We start from the raw sequence: 16303 nt of genomic DNA on the forward strand, positions 1-16303 counted from the left end.
AAGATTAGATACTAACACACAAAAGGCAGAGACACCTCTGGGTGTTTATTCAAAATATCAAACTTAGAGAACTTGAAGAATAAAGACCCCAGCATTCTTTTTTCCTCCCCCGAAGCATACTCACAGGCTACTATGACTATAAATTTAATAAAGCAGAGTTAAGAGCCTGATTTGAATTATTTCAATATTTTTCCTCCAAAACTATCACAAGACAGAAAAAATAAACATTTTGAAACACAACGAGAAAAAAGAAAGAAAAGAGCTGAGACTGAATAAAACACTAAGCATTGTCCTTCGATGTAAAAAACTATTTCTGTTAGTGTGTAGGCCCAGGTTGGAAAGAGATGTACAAAAACACGAATTCAGAGGATCGGAAGAATTAAAACGCCCCCAAGAATAACATGAAAGTATTTGATGTTGCTTCAGGGGCAAGGGCGAGTATGTATATGTACGTAAATCCATTTCCTCAGAGGCTCCTTGGCAGTCTGTTACAACACCACGCTAATGAAAGCCAGGTCTTTAAGTTCACCCCGCCTCTGGACTATTAGTTTCTCCTTTGCGCCCTGCGGGGACTGCATTCCTGGAAATGAAAGCACACGAGTTGGGGAAGGGCTGGGGTGCCAGAGAGGGTAGGAAGCTGGAGCCCACGGAGCCTGGGATGGAGAGGTGGGTGGGCCCAGGCCTGGGGCGTGGGGTGGCGGTGGAAGGTCTGGGGTCTCACCCTTCGGAGTTTTGAGTCTTGTCTGGCTCCAGGGAGGGAGATCCAGGGGAGATATTTACGAACGGAAGCCACACGATCAGCTTGGACTTTTAGGCCAGTCACTCCGCCTTAAGTGGGTGCGTGAGAACCAGAAGAGGGACTGGCTGTAGCGCTGCAAGTGAGATCCTGTCCCAAAAGATGAGCCTGACTTAGGCTGGGCCCCGCAGGCCGGCAGGGCCAGCCGGCATCCCTGGTAGGGGAATCGGGAAGGTCTCAATGATAAATCTGTGTGTGGAGACTCAGAGGGCACGAAATAGGCTCTGCTGATGTCCTCTGCCCCTCATAGCCTGCCAGCCACCCCAGCCTTCACCCCTGCCTCAGCATCCTTCCAACTAGTTGAATCAATCAGGAGCCCAAGGGAAAGGAATTGGTCCCAGTGTATGAAATGAGTCTGACCTACTGGGGAAGTCAGAGAGGAGTGTCCCGAACTGGGTGGGAAGGAAACGAGTTCCGTGCGCGGGGCTGGGGCAGGAGTGAGGCGCAGCGGCCGAGATCCTGAGCCCCGGGACCCTTGTTCCGGGCCCCGAGGCCTACTTGGTAGTTGCCCCTCGGGGTTCCGGGTGGGTGACTGACAGTTGCAGCAGCTCTGGGGAGGCGAAGGATAGGCAATGACTTGGGGCTCCCGTCCACTCGGCTTTGAGGTCCCCGCGGCCCGATGACCCGGCCTCGGTGACAGCAGCCGCGACGGCGGCAATCTCGACAGGGAGCTAGGCGGCTCATGGTGGGTCAGGGGGCGACCGAGGAGGGACCACGCGGCCTGTAGGGGGCAGCGCCGAGCTCGGGAGGAGACAGCAGCCGGCGGGTGGGGTGGGTCTGGGCTGCCCCCTCCGGGAGCTGCCCCGGGGCCGCACGGCGATTGTCATACCCGGCCGCCCCTGCCCGCCGTGGGCTTCCTCTCGGCGCCGCGGGCCTTAACGGGGCTCTGAGGGGACGTGACAGAGCTCGGCACGCGGCAGCCTCTGGGGAGTTAGGGTCCGGAGAGACCCACGCGTCGCCCCCCGCCCGCCCGGGGCCGGGAGATCCTCGGGAGCCGCCTCCGCGTGTCCAGAGAGTGTCGGGGCGGCCGCCACTTCCCCTCGCCCTTCGCCGGAGGTGGGCGCCTTTTCCTGCGTGGCGGGTGCTCCGACCCCAGTTGCTCTGAGCCCCGGGGAAGCGCGCCCCGAGCCCCTGACGTGGGCGCCCCGTTACCTCGGGGTGGGTGCCTGGGGCCCCTGAGGTGGGCGCGGGTTGCCCCGGGGTGGGCGCCCGGCCCGCGCGGGTTATTTTTGGCGCCCGCAGAGGCGCGTGTGTTGGGGCGTGTTTTCCTTCCCCAGGTGCCGAGAGCCGGGGCTCCGCCGGCGCCGGAGCTGACTCGTCTCTCTCTTCTTTCCCCTGCAGGAATCTTCCGATAATTCTGCCGCCGCGACTTTAACCGTGCGCAAGGCGAGAGCTCGAAACAAACATCACATCTAAATTAAAAAAAAAAAAAAGCGGAAGAAGCGGCCGAGGCGGCGGCGGGAGGAGAGGAGGAGGGGCCGCGCGCGGCGGCCCGAGGCGGCGGCGGGGACGCGGGGACGCGAGGACGCGGCTTTGTGCAGGCGGGTCGCGGGGCGCCCATGGCGGAGTGCGGCCGGGGGGGCGCCGCCGGCGGGGCCCTGCCCACCTCCCCGGGCCCGGCCCTCGGCGCCAAGGGCGCCCTGAAAGCCGGAGTGGGGGAAGGCGGTGGCGGGGGAGGTCGCCTCGGCCACGGGCGGGCGCGCTATGACAGCGGCGGGGTTTCCAACGGAGACTGCAGCCTCGGCGTGTCCGGGGACGAAGCCCGGGCTAGCCCTACCAGGGGACCCCGCGGCGTTGCGCTCGCCCCGACCCCCAGCGCGGTCGTCTGTACCCTCCCCCGGGAGAGCAAGCCGGGCGGCCTGCCCCGCCGGAGCAGCATCATCAAGGTAGGTGGGAGAAGGGCGCTCATCGCCCACCCTCAGCCGTCCTTGGATTCTATTTTCTCCCTGGGGGAGTGGTGGTGGAAGGAGGAAGCCCACTGCTAACAGGAACCACTGGAGCATGGGTGCTTGGGGTGGTTGAGCGGGGATTGGATGCAAATGGCATGTGGAAAGAATGGAGAGGTGATCCCTAATGTGCAGGGGGAGCTGTGCTCAGACATCCTCAGTTGAACTTGGGGCTGTCACCTCTTCCAGGATTGGTCTGGCATTAGGGCCTTGTACCTGCCGGGGTAGGGCATACTCTTATGTGTAGCCTAGTCTGGTTAACAGACTCCCTGTAAGATTTCTATTGTATCTTAAACACAGATAGGGATTATGTGAAATGTGAGAACATTTTCTTAAAAATCCCAGGCGGCGAACAGAGGGTGAACAGAGATTATTTAATAGGGTTCTTCTGATCCGTATACAGTTAGTTGGCTCTTACAAATGTTTACACTTCGAGGGTGCAAAATCTCCTAATATCCGGTCACTCAGTCACAAAGAAAAATAGAGTAGATTTCTGAACATAAATGCAGATTTCCGCTTTCTTAGGCTCAAAAGCTCAGAGATTACAGTTCCACACGATTTAATCTTTTTCCTTGCTGCAGTAGGCAGGCCTCGAGTACTGTGGAAGTTCTTTTGGGCAGTTTGCTTGGTTTTGCTTGCACAGTGTTAGCGGAAGAAAGCCAGCGATTGTTTTGAGCATTTTAAACTCAAGAAGTAATATTAGGAACTCCCGAGTTTGTGTTAGTTTCATTCTAATGTTACATTTTGGTTCGCAATGTAAAAATATTTTTCATGACATGAAGTGCAAAAAAAAATAGTTGATGAGCTAAGAAGAGCAGAGCCTTAGGCAAGACCAGCTCATTCGGCTCGCTCAAGTTTGGAGCAAATGAAAACATTGCTTTCTGAAAATCAAGGAGTTATCAGGACAGGGAGCAGCAAAGCAAATTGACAGGCTGCACCCACCCTTCCTGTGGCTGATAACTGGTGGGAGGGCAGAACGTGCCACAGTAAAGAGAGTTGGCAGTGGTGGTATCTGAAATTTTATTGGACCTACAGAAATCTTCCAAGTACTGTGAAAATGTCTGATGGTGTTATCAACTTATGCAGTAATCTAGTGAAATATACCATCTTGCTACTCTATGTAAGAGGCAATTGTGAAACTGCATTTCCCTTTGTCATCTGTTTGCGCAGTTTATGTCTGGGCAAGGACACAATTTGAAGGGTTTGGAGATGAAGTGTATTAACTACCTGCAGCACACACGTAGAGATAAACTAAGGAAAGTAAAGTGTCTTTTTGCTGCATACATAGCTTTTAGTGACTTACGTTTTCTTTTACTCTGTAGCTTATGTTTCCATGGAAGTTGCTTTCAACTGTGCATGATAATCAATCCTATTGACAGAGTTAGGTGACATTTCTGTTTTTATTTGTCATAAAATATTTGTGGTGATTTTGCATTGTGGTGTTAATAAAATTTGAGGTGAAAATTCCAAAGAAGATACCAGCCTACCTAATTTTAACCCCTTTCTTTTAATTGTTTTGAATACTTGTTTTTGCATTAAAAAATCAAACTTTATTAGTGTCCATAGTGAGATTCATAGTGTAACTTACTGAATTACAAAAACATTTGTTTTAATTTTACATTACTGGGCGATAAGCAAGAAGGATGATTTGTTAGTATTTCTGATATATGGAATTGGGAACTTGTCAATAGATACCATTTCTTAATTGAAGGCTCTAGAAGCACATGGGGGAAATGATTAATGTTCAAAAATCACTGATTTTAGAAATGATATTGATACTTATGTTGAATTCTGAAACTTTTAAGGATATTTTGTCATTTTTCTTCTTTGTAAAGAAAGCATTTGGCTTCTTGTTCACCAGTGTAACCCTAGATATAAAGTGCCAGGAATGTAGTAGCAGCTCAATAAATTGCTTATTGAATGAATGGAGAAAGTACATGTTTTCTCTGAGTTCTGTTAATTTATAAAACAATTGGTTTTGGATTTACCAGTCCCATATTTTGTTCATTGTATTGTACCTCCAAAGAAGGCTTGACATACTCCTTTTTCTTGCCTCTGTTTTCACTTTGCATTTTCTTAAAACTTTCGAAAATTATGGAAGTAGTGTTGAAAGTTGATCAATACTGGGTTATAGGAAAGAGAGGATGCTATATTTAAATAGGTAACTACTTGGTATATTTCCCTTTGAATTGGTGCCTTGAAGCATCAAGATTTTTGGAATGTATTGTGGTATTTTCTAAAGATAACTTCCAGCATCAGGACAATATCCTAATAGAAAACAAAGTCTTTAACATCAAATTTCATAAAGCAACAAATACTGCACAGATAGTTTTGTCATGTGAATGGCAGAAATTATGTTTCACTTTTGTTTAAAAAAAAAAAGAATAAAAAGCTAAAGCAGAAGCCCATGTGAAAAAGCAATAGTGACATCTTTCCTTGGTTTCCTTATTTTTTTTAATATAAGGGATGAATGCAGTCAGGTGGTCTCTGAGTAGAGGCAGGAGTAGATTAGTAAGCAAGGTGATAATTGGGGACTTGAGGGAATAGCAGGGAGTGAATGCTACCTGGGGAACTGAGGCCGGTATTTATGGGGTTGTATTAGTTGAAATGCTGGGCTTCTGAACTGTGCCTCTCTCCTAGCTTTCATCTTCATTACAGTCTTGACAGCCCTCTTTGTTGGAGATCCTTAAATCAGAGGGAGAATAATGGCCTAAATGTGCTATAAGGTGGGCAAAGAAAGGGGGACTATTGCTAAAGTGCAGGGCATATGCAGAAATACACTGTAGGCTGACCCGAATCTTATTCCTCATTTAAAATAATTTATTTGGTACTCCATCTGTTTTGTAAATGTGGTGTTGAGTAAGAAATTGTTGTAAAACAATATTTTCTGCCAAAATAGATGCACAGATCTATACTAAAAGAACTCTTTGGTTATGTTAACAGTGTTGATTAAAATTCAGAGTGAGCAGCTTTGTAGAACCTTTTACAAATACCTTGAGATGATAAATAAATCATGGAAATCATCACCAGACTTTTCTACTTTTCCTTAGCTTATTGAAAATAACGGTCGACTTTTGAGATTATTTACAAAGGCTCATTACTGGATTTTAGAGAAGAAGCCGTTATGTTTGTCATCTTAAGTAATCTAGTAAATGAAAACATCACTTTCATTTTCTCTTTCCATAATTCATTTCATCACTCTATTCAATATAATCTATGCTTTATTTTGAAACAGTTAATTTGGTTAATTGTTCAGATGGCATCCCTTATTTGCAAATAGCTCAATCTTTTAATTCAAGAGCCTGGTCTAAAAATATGAAGTAGCATTTTAGGCCTTAGATTTCTGTTTAAGTTTAGAAAGAAATGAAGTTAAAATGTCTATTGCTGTGGATGATTTAGTCAGAACTAGTTAAATACTTTGGTTGATACTTTAAAAAATGAGGTATGATTTACATACAGTAAAATTCACACTGGTTTGTGTCGAGTTCTGTGAACTTTGACCAATACATTCAGTCATTTAATCACCACCATCATGAAGATATAGGGCACTAACATCACCTCAAAAAACTCCCAGGTCTCTGTGATCTTTCGCTCCCCTCATCCCCAGACAATGGCAATCTTCGGTTCTTTTTTAATCAGTAGGAAATTCGGCCATTACCTTATCTTGGTATTTAGAAGTAATAACGGTAGCCAACACTTATTAAACACTCACTGCATGCAAAACACGTGAAAAGTGCTTACCGTAATTCTCTGACTTGGTCCTGTGCTAACCACAGAGACAGGAGGAAATCAGAGTTCAGAGAGGTTAACCCTGTGCCCCAGGTGCTGGAGCTACTTGTATCCCGCTTGGGTATATGGCTGCACTCCATTGCTTCCCCACATTACAGTGGCAGTTTGAATTTTTTGTGGTTAAGGCAGCATCAGTGGTTTCAGACATTGGATTTGATTGCCCTCTTTAAATGTAGGAGATATTGGAAGAAGGAAAAGAATCTCTGTTTCTGCTGGTGGAAGAAGTTGGCAGATAACATAGCCAGGAGGCTTTTAGTCACCCGTTGTGGCTGCTTGACCAGGGCTTGCAGCTTCACAGGGACCAATGATCTGACCTTGCCCAAGGTGGCAGCCCTTATTTTTCTTAGTATCATTATTGCCATTGTCATAGTGTCATGTGGTGTAGGAGAAACACTTTTACTGTCTTTATACTACTATGTTCACCTATGTCTTGACACTGAGCTCTCCAACATGGACAACAAGCAGCCTTTTCACATCTATTATACACATTTAAATGAAATAAAACTTTTATGTGTGTCTTGGCCCATGGTTTAAATAAACTAGGCTCCTTGCAGGCAGAAGTTGGACTGTATTTACCAGTTCTGCACAGGTAACAAACACTCAGTAACCATTTTTTAATTGGATCTTAAAAATAATATCTGCGTTTGACTTTAGACATTTTTTTTTGAATGGGGGAAACAAAGATACCGCATGCCCAGCAAACCTGTGGGCACATCATAAATAATTAAACAGACAGTAGCTGGATAACAAAGTGAATTTGTCTGGATAGATAGGAAACCTGGATCATTAAGGTCAGAAAAATCTAATGGCCAATCAGCAACTCCCCACTTTACTTTGTGCTAATACATTTTAGACCACACAAGTTAACTGTTGAAAGGCCAAAGCATGGTTGCTTGTTTTAGCCTGCTCAAAGAGCTTTTGTCACAATTCAGTTTAGGTTTTCAAAAGCAGAGTATATTAATTTTCATGCCCTAAAATCTACTTGCTCCCTTTTGCTTTCCTCCTCCTCCATTTTCCAGCCTCCCCCAAATGGTTGTATTTGATTTGCATTGTTTTTCATCAAATCCAAATAGGCAACTGACAGGAAATTGTTTATTTTATTAATTGCTGATATTGGCCACAAGTTATTTTCTTAGAATGTTCTATCCCAGAATCTGTTCACTTCCTTTTATAGTTCTTTGTGCTCTGCAAGGAGCCTAAACTAGAATGTTATTTACTTTATTTTTTTATGCTTAAGTTACCCAGGCTTCAATATTCAACAAAATAGGGCAACATTATTTACAGCCTAAATGCAGATATAAATGAAGTATGAACATTTATAGTTTTTCTTCAGACTTTATACTTATGTGTTCAAGAATAGATGCTTTCTTCCTTCTTAATACTAAGTTTTGGATGCCAGTTATTTACTTATCTACCAGACTTCTGGATTACTTTAACTTCTTTTCTGTTCTATATTGGTGGGATTCAAATACTTTTACCAGTGGACCACAGGATCTGCGACTGTTATGTTTGTAAGCTGCCTGCTGAGCTTTTTTCTACTGATAAGATTGGTAAATTGAGAGGGTTGTGCTTAGCATGAGTGTCGTTTGTGACTCAAACTGAAGTCAGAGCCGCTAGAGCCAGCCACTATTCTTTGTATCAGAGTAATTCCATAGCTTTAGGGTGCCCAAAGTATATAACTCATTGCATTGAGCTTCAGCAACAATTATGTGAATGGTCCAGCCTTCTGGCAGGACACTTGGCACCCACCCATTCCAGAATGGCAAACCAGGGCAGGTTGTTAGGCCCTCTTACCACTAGCACTTGGTCCCATGGCAGGGGTAATTAGGTGAACCATATTTTAGCTAGTAATCTCAGCTGGGCTGCATCCTGTGGTCGAGGGCTGCCCCCAGGCCACATGTTGCGTATCTGGATTATTCAGGAGGCAGAATTGTGGTGGGAACAATAGAAAGTCTGTAGTTAGGGGCTTGGATTAGATCCTGGCTTCCCTGGTTCCTTTCTTTATGGCCTTGGGCAAGATACTGAAGTCTGTATGTCCAGTTACTCCATCTCTAAAACAGGTAGAATAAAACCTCCTCTCATAGCATTGTTGTAAAGATTAAAGGAGATGATTGATGTGTGAGCAGTGTGTGGCACCTAATAAGCATTAGTGTGTTTTTCTGATTTTTAGTTGAGCAGACTCCTTTAGAGAGGTGAGCAGACTAACATGGCCATGCTCGTTTTGAAAGTTTTGTCTTTTGAAATATGCAGAATGTGCCTAGGGAAATTTCTCAGGCATGTTCCATAAATGCTTTCAATAATTGTTTTGGTGTCTTTCTAAATCTGATACCTCAGTACAACTGCACACACATGTAAATAGCCCCAACTATGGGATCAAAGGGTATTGAACATACAATTTCATTGTGCCAAGCACCCACATGTCTTGCTTTGCCCAGGACAATCCAGGTTTACATCTTTTGCTGTGACAAGATTATTAATAGTGCCTCCTTTAACTCTCAAAGGCATCTCAGCTTGGACGATAAATAATATGGTCATCTTACTTGTAATCTTCTTTTCACAAACTGCCTTACAACCTATGCTGGAGCCCCATGAGATTCCCCTCTGTGCCTAAACTTAGCCTTTATGGTGACACCTCTGTTTCCTCAGGTTTCCTTCTCTCTTAGTAATCTTTAAGGTTTTCCTCAGTTAACCACTTCCCAGTTAGAATGAATTATTTCTCTGTCTTCCAGCCACCACTCTCCCTGTATCTCCATACAGTCCTTCTGCCTCTTAGGCAACTACATCTTTTTCATCCTGAATTTATGAAAACACCTAGTTTAATGTCTTGTGAAAAGTATTTGTTTAAGTATGTATTTGTTGAATAAATGTGTGAATGGATAAATAAGGGGACAAGAATGAGTCTTAGGAGTTGGATGAAGATGTTATTTAGACTTAACTCCAACTGGTTTTGATTGGAATATAAAACTCAGTGGGATGTGTGCTTCAAAGAAGAAATTTATTCATGTACATAATTTTGAAAACAAAGGAAATACCTTCATTTAAAGATGGATCTAGGAATTTGGTTAATTCTATAACTGTTCTGGAAGATGTTAATATAAATGATTGCTCCCTTTTGTGCCCTGAAATAAGAATAGGCCTTTGAAATTTTCTTTTGATTTATATTCTGCTGTCAAAGTTTAAAAAGGATGGCAAGAGAACATTATTGTTTGCTAAGGGATTTAATCTGTTTTTTGGTATTTGGTTTCTTTAAGTGATATCTGTAGTTTTTGCTCAGTTGTTGTTTATTTTTGAGGAACTGAATTACTTAAACTCCTATTGTCATTAATATTTGCTAGTCACATGGTATTCATTGGAAGTGCTATAAAATTAATAATTAAAAATAAAATACATAAGGAATCTGGAGTACTGATAAGAGTTGTAGGAGTGCGATCTCTAATTCCTCAGCATGTTTTGTCATGTAATGGTAGAAATTCTGCCCTTTGTTGCAGTGCAAGGATTGGGTGAAGAAGAGATACTAGGAGATGCTTTGTATGCATCGTCTCATGCAAGTCTCACCAGAACCTGTAAGGAGACATTATCATTCCCCTTACAGACAAGGGAACCCATTCTACAAGGTTTGGGAATTTCCAAGCAAGGTTAGAGAGGCTGTAAGAGGCAAAGCCAGCATTCTGACCAGGTTTGACTGTCCATGTTTTGAACTGCTCCATCACCCTCTCCCACTCCATCCTCTGGATGACTTTGATTTTTTCTTTCTTCTCCTACTTGCCCAAGCCATTCTGACTTCTTGATCTTAGCAGTTTCTACCAGTACTAAAATAGACAACTAATTTTTAATGAGAAAAGTTTGGCTTTTTGTGGCTGAATCTTATGATGAAACCAATGTGTACCTAACCAACATGAAGCCATAACCATAGTCCTGCCCATCGTGCCTCAAGTTTCTGTCTGATCTGCAAACCAGGACCTTGTCCTTTTCCTCTCTGCTCTCCTTTGATGGATTAGAAATTCTTTTAGGGGGGTTAGTTTCCATTTTTATTTCTTTTTTAACAAAAAGTTGATTTATAGTTCTATGCATTTTTAGGGTCCTGGAAGGTAAAGCAGGTAACAACTAGTAATGGTTTGTTTTTTTAGGTGGGCTTCTTCTATTATTGTTTCGGAATTGTCAACTAATTATAGAATTTTAGAATACAATAATACAACACATTACTGTGTAGTCAATATTCAGTATATTTTTGGAGTGTGCTAAATGTACTGATTTGGATATTGCAGATATTAACATCCCAGAAACCAAGCAGCTGGGTTTAAAAGTGATTAATCATGGAGATTCATGAGATTTTCACAGCGGAAAGAGATCATGTAAAATTCTTTTGTAGTTAGAGATACACAAGGCCATACTGATTAGTACATTTAGCTCCTAGCTATGGTTGAATTCATTTATTTGCATATTAGCATAACAGAATTGGAAAAATTTGTTATGTAATACTGCAGTATGTGAGTATTAATAGAACAAGATGTGGTCTTCTAGATTAAAAAAATAGCTATTTTTTGTGAATTTGTTTTTTGCTATAGATAGCTGCATGTGTACACATGCTATACTTGTGTATGCATATACCCTGAAGACTGTTTATAAATCGTAAAGATTAAGAGCAAACCAAATAATGTAGTGCTAGGTTGACACAAATCCTGTGTCTCTCTCTCAGAGACTGATGGACTGATGGGTAGCAGGTGTATGCTCTTTAAATTGAAAATGCCCAGGAAGGGATAGGCTGTTCCCTATGAGCATTGCTGATGAAGCCTCTGTTGCTTTTGACCAATTAGTGTGGTCACAGAGGGTTAAGTGACCTCATTTGCAGCTACCATCAGAATTACAAGCCATATGACTCTCTCCATATGGTTTCCTGCTACCTTTTATTTTTTATTCTAAACTCTGATATTCTGTAGTCATAGTAAATGTATTTTTTCAAGTTATTTATATGATTTAATGTTTATTATTGAATAAAGGATATTGCTTAGATTTTTATTTCTATCAATCCATGCTAATATATTAAATGCCAATATAATTATTCAGATGTTTTCATATTGAAGCTAATAAAATTCCTATTGAAATACTGGTTTTGAGAATGTCTTCATCTGTGGAGTATTTGATGATTTGTTGAAAGAGATCTGTATGCTCTTCCAAAGCTTTCCCTGGTTTATGTATATTTCCAGAAATAATTTTCTATACATTAAAAATAATATTAGCAGTAGAATTACTATATCATAGGACAGACATGTGTACATTCAGCTTTAGTAGATACTATTAGGTGATTTTCCTAACTGGTCCAGCCAATTTACACACCTACCAGGTTATATGAATGCTAGGTGCTCTAAATGCACACATTTGGTATTATCAGTGTTTCTTTGTCTTTTTGCTTTTTGATTGTAACTATTGTGACGGTTATGTAATGGTACTTCACTGTGGCTTTTTGGCTGAATTTCTCTCATGGCTAATGATGTTGAACATCTTTTCATATGTTTCTTGGCCATTTGGATATTCTCTTTTGTGAAAATGCTTGTTCAAGTCTTTTGCCCATTTAAAAAGTCAGGTTGTTTTTATTTTWAAAAAAATGGTATGTAGGACTTAATTTACATTTTCTGAATATGTCTTTTGTGATATATATATATATTCAAGTTGTTTATATGGTTTAATGTTTATTATTGAAGAAAATAAAGGATATCGCTTAGATTTTTATTTCTATCAATCCGTGCTAATAGCTTATATTAAATGCCAATGTAATTATTCAGATGATATATATGTTTTGTGATATATCACAAAAGACATTTTCAACATATATAGATATGTTGAAACACGTATCTATATAGATATAGATATATGTTGAAACATGTATCTATATCGATATAGATATATGTTGAAACATGTATCTATATCGATATAGATATATGTTGAAAATGTCTTCTAGTATGTGACTTGCTTTTTCACTGTCTTAAAGGGTATATTTTAATGAAAATTCTTAATTTTAGAGAAGTTCAGTGTATCAGTATTTTTCTTTATGGTTATTATTTTTGAGTCCTGTTTCAGAAATGTTTACTTAGCCTAATTCTATGAAGATAGTCATTTATTTAACCACTGGAGTCTTATTGTTCTATTTTTCATGTTTAGATCTGGATTTCATTTTGTGTGTGTGGTGTGAGGTAGGGTTAAAGATTTTCTTTCCATATAAATATCCAATTAATTCAGCACCATTTATTTGAAAATAGAATCTCTTTCCCACTGCACTGCATTGGTCTTCGATCCTAGATCAAGTGGCCATTTATGTATGGGTCTGTTTTTGGAGTCTATTTTGTTACATACACATAAAGTCCTTATATACTTACCACACTGTCTTTCTGGCTAGGTATATACCTAACAGGAGTTACTCCATATGTATATTGAAAGACATTTCCAAGAGTCCTTAAAGCAGCATTAATTCTAACAGTCCCAAATTGAAAGCAACAACTCAAATGCCTATCTTATAAAATAGCGTATCATACAGTGGAATCCTATGAGGAAAAGGAAGAAAGAACAGAAACAGCAGATGACTGCCCTATGCACTGCTTGAGTCTCCCAAGCATAATGCTAAGGGAAATAAACCAGCCACAAAAGAATACATATTTTTGATTATAATTATATAAAGTTCAAAAGCAGCTAAACTAATTTGGAGTGGTAGAAGTTATAATAGTGGTTACACTTGGGGATAATAATTGAGGGAGGAAGCAAGGGTCCTACTGGGTGCCAGTGATGTTTGGTTTCTGCATCTGGTTGGTGATTCCAAATGTGGGTTTACTTTGTAAAAATCCATTAGGTTTTACACTTAGGATTTTTTTTCTGGAAGTCTATCATACTGCAACAAATTAAGTTTATTCAAACAATTAAATTGTGAACATTAATCAAACTCAGATACCAATTGGTTACTTCCTCCTGCACTATTTAGGGCCGTGCCTTTTACAGTTTTTTGCTGTCTGTGGATCAGCATGTGAAACATTTCTGCTGCTGTGGACACTTGTACGTGGTGAGACCTGCTAAAGCCCTGCACTAGTTGATGGCCTGGAGAGGGGGTGGGTGGAGAGAGGGGCAGCTTGCTGGAAGAGCCTGAGGACTGGATCTTCCTTGGAATATACTGAAAGCACAAAAGGAGCTGGGCCTGGGTGGAAAGTTGACACATTAGTGAAGAGTGTGTTGGTCACTGCAGTCATCTTACACTGCAGTCGTGATTGCTTGGAGTTTTTATGATTTGTTTAGTGTAGTTTTGAGCTTCAGGTGCACTCGAAAGTTTTAATATTTGAAAATGTGCTGCTCATAATAAAACTTTGAGAACCACTCGTTTGTGGAGCACCTGCTCTTCACATAACAGTTTTCTAGATAGAGCTTTTTGGTCTCAAAAGCAGTTAACAGAGCAAAACCAGTTATCCAGATATACGGACAAAATGGAGAGTTGTTTGATCACTGCTAAGTAATAGCATACCTAGGATCTCAGGTGGTCGGTCAACAGAGAGTTTTAGCTCTACTGAACACTTATTCTGCCTAATCTAAATATTCTTTTGGGTAGGAAAGGACGAAGGGGAAATAATCTTCAGATGGGTCATTTTAAGACACATTGGAATTACCTGGATTCTAAAACATACTAATGTGAAGACCCCACCTGGCTGCAATTGAATCAGAACCTCTGGGGGTTTCCTAAAGTGCCCTGGGAGATTTTAAAGTATAGCCAGGGTTAACAACAGCTGTGAAACCTTTCTTATATGTTGGGTTCTCGACTTCCCTGTGTAGCTCTGTTAGATATGAGAGAACAAACAGCTCCCGGAATCCTGCAGATGATAGTTGGTGAGCATGTGGCTGGTGGGGTGTAGGGGGCAGGATTAAACCTTAACTTGCCGCGGTGGAGTTTTTCTTTAAGGGAGTCGAGCTGCCCTTTTTTGGAGGGGATATAAAATGTCAATGAAGGGGAATAATTCCTTAGTAAAATTTGGAGAAATAGATTTTATATGTGAAAATGACAGTCTGCCCTATGTGTCTTTTTTTGATCTAGGTAAAGGTAAAAATTATGTCAATTAAAAAAAAAAAAGGCCCTGGGTTGGTTATTTGGAGCCTTAATCCCCCTTGATTAATCATTACTGTGCAGCTCCTAGTCCCTGTAGTTCCTGGCGAGTCCCTGGGCTCTTGTCCATCCCTCACAAGAGAAACTATATAGGTGTACCCATGGCATTCTGCAGCATGAAGGAGGAGCCTCCCTAGGAAAAATTGTCTTTAGAAAGAATTAGTTTGGCAGAGGCACTAGCACTATTTCTAGAGAGAGGTGATTGGATGTTTCACTTTGCTAAATGAGTGTAGTAAAAACGCTGTTTACTCACAGAAGATTATAAATCGGCACTTGCCAGACAGGTGTCTGTTTGTAAGGGTGATTTATGCGGGGAGGATGTGAACCATCTGGTGATGCTCCAGTGCTCCGCCCGAGGGTGGGCTGACATCTGGGTTGGCACGTCATGACCTTTGCGTGAATGTGTACTTTCTGAATGCTAGAGCATTTTCCTCTTGCCATGCTGACCTTCGCGGTAAAGAGGAATGAACATTGAACTCCTGAGGCATCTATAAAACATATTTTATTGGCTGCAAAGCAGTAACATGAAGATTTCAGTCGTTACTTGTTTGTAACCTTAGTTATGCAGTGTGTACTCATTTTCTCCTCAACTGGACTGCACAAATTATTAGAGGTTGTCATTCCCATTTATTTTTTTAGGTCATTTTTTTTTTCTCTTCCACATTGACAAGGATGAGTCTTCTAGCCAAGAAGCTTGTGCCCCTCACTTGTCTTGAGTAGGCACCAAGGAAGAGTAGTGACCTGAGGGGAAGGCCAAGTCCTTGGAGACCCCTGTTTAGAGGCCGGAGAGGCACCAACAGTTTGGCAGCAGCAAAGTTTTCTCAAGCTGTCCCTATCTTGATTGTGACACAATTGTTAACACATATACCTTTGACAGGCAGTTTTATTTACGTATTCTAAATGGGAGGTGTAGTAGAAATGAACTTTAATATTCTTTGGGGAGAGAAAATCTACAGCCTTTTTTTTTTGGAACATTCAGTACTCAGTAATATTTACCAAGTGAAGAATAAGAGAGGTTTCCTTTCCTACAGCATAATTAGCCAGATCTTACCCATCTTCATTGTTAGGAAAAAAAGTATTGTTGAAAAAGATTTTAAAATAGTTAAATAGCCCTTTTGTCCTAAGGAATAGCTGCCGGGTATGAATGCTACCCGGAGGGGTCTGGAAGCAAGAGAGTGAAATAGTGCGAGAGAAACAGGCACATAGCCACATAGCAAGCGTTCTACTGGGCTCCTTACTGGGAAGTTGGTGAGATGTGTGGCCTCTGTGGCAGTGGCCCTGACCTGTCCTCATCATTACTGGTTGCCAGACAGTAAAGTAAGACAAGGTGGAGGATGGCTTAGAAGATACCACCAAAATAACAGGGCTTGATAAAGCTGTCCCCAGATACAGTTTGGCAACTCTCAGGGCCGTCATTCCTGGGAACAACAGGGACCACGGGATCTATTAGTTATGTTCCAAAATGGCACTTAAAACCTTTCCACACCAGGTCACACATGGAAAATGATATAATTGTCTAGATAACATGAGGAGATTGCTTGGGGCCAGAGGCCCCAGCCAGCTGTGGCAGGGGTTGGAGGGTGGAGGGGGAGGGGGTTGCGGGGACCCACGCCTTGGCAGGCCATTTGGCAGTAATACTTG

The 16303-nt window shown here is 41.9% G+C and overlaps 1 protein-coding gene and 1 long non-coding RNA gene across 3 annotated transcripts in view, besides 7 other annotated features; one reads left to right on the plus strand and one right to left on the minus strand.

Annotated features, from left to right (window-relative positions):
* Nucleotides 1-243: 243 nt before the first annotated feature.
* On the minus strand, nt 244-1658 carry LOC105376972 (uncharacterized). Of its 2 annotated transcripts, none has more exons than XR_002959616.2 (3): nt 1161-1658; nt 722-886; nt 244-580 (listed from the first exon to the last, which is right to left on the minus strand). It is a non-coding gene; the product is annotated as an uncharacterized LOC105376972 (long non-coding RNA). The 2 variants fall into 2 exon arrangements; XR_002959615.2 differs by having other exon boundaries at nt 1157-1658.
* Nucleotides 415-1123: an enhancer, noted in NCBI's record as "H3K4me1 hESC enhancer chr3:16924592-16925300 (GRCh37/hg19 assembly coordinates)". NCBI's record gives its function as "activates a minimal SCP1, AML or CMV promoter by ChIP-STARR-seq in naive H9 embryonic stem cells {active_cell/tissue: H9 hESC(naive)}" and the evidence as "EXISTENCE:reporter gene assay evidence [ECO:0000049][PMID:30033119]".
* Nucleotides 1424-2093: a silencer, noted in NCBI's record as "silent region_14120". NCBI's record gives its function as "represses an Ori minimal core promoter by ATAC-STARR-seq in GM12878 lymphoblastoid cells {active_cell/tissue: GM12878}" and the evidence as "EXISTENCE:reporter gene assay evidence [ECO:0000049][PMID:35858748]".
* Nucleotides 2126-2621: an enhancer, noted in NCBI's record as "H3K4me1 hESC enhancer chr3:16926303-16926804 (GRCh37/hg19 assembly coordinates)". NCBI's record gives its function as "activates a minimal SCP1, AML or CMV promoter by ChIP-STARR-seq in primed H9 embryonic stem cells {active_cell/tissue: H9 hESC(primed)}" and the evidence as "EXISTENCE:reporter gene assay evidence [ECO:0000049][PMID:30033119]".
* Nucleotides 2126-2633: a biological region, named in NCBI's record as "H3K4me1 hESC enhancer GRCh37_chr3:16926303-16926804".
* PLCL2 (phospholipase C like 2) overlaps nt 2271-16303 on the plus strand; it is a 205652-nt gene continuing 191619 nt past the window's right edge. Inside the window, exon 1 of the mRNA NM_001144382.2 lies at nt 2271-2682. Within this exon, the coding sequence (NP_001137854.1) occupies nt 2356-2682 (327 nt within the window). The 5' untranslated portion in view covers nt 2271-2355. The remainder of the gene's footprint in view (nt 2683-16303) is intronic.
* Nucleotides 2304-2633: a silencer, noted in NCBI's record as "silent region_14121". NCBI's record gives its function as "represses an Ori minimal core promoter by ATAC-STARR-seq in GM12878 lymphoblastoid cells {active_cell/tissue: GM12878}" and the evidence as "EXISTENCE:reporter gene assay evidence [ECO:0000049][PMID:35858748]".
* Nucleotides 2622-3121: an enhancer, noted in NCBI's record as "H3K4me1 hESC enhancer chr3:16926805-16927304 (GRCh37/hg19 assembly coordinates)". NCBI's record gives its function as "activates a minimal SCP1, AML or CMV promoter by ChIP-STARR-seq in primed H9 embryonic stem cells {active_cell/tissue: H9 hESC(primed)}" and the evidence as "EXISTENCE:reporter gene assay evidence [ECO:0000049][PMID:30033119]".
* Nucleotides 6620-6719: an enhancer, noted in NCBI's record as "active region_19556". NCBI's record gives its function as "activates an Ori minimal core promoter by ATAC-STARR-seq in GM12878 lymphoblastoid cells {active_cell/tissue: GM12878}" and the evidence as "EXISTENCE:reporter gene assay evidence [ECO:0000049][PMID:35858748]".

The sequence above is a fragment of the Homo sapiens genome, chromosome 3 (assembly GCF_000001405.40).
Source record: "Homo sapiens chromosome 3, GRCh38.p14 Primary Assembly".
Taxonomy (NCBI): domain Eukaryota; kingdom Metazoa; phylum Chordata; class Mammalia; order Primates; family Hominidae; genus Homo; species Homo sapiens.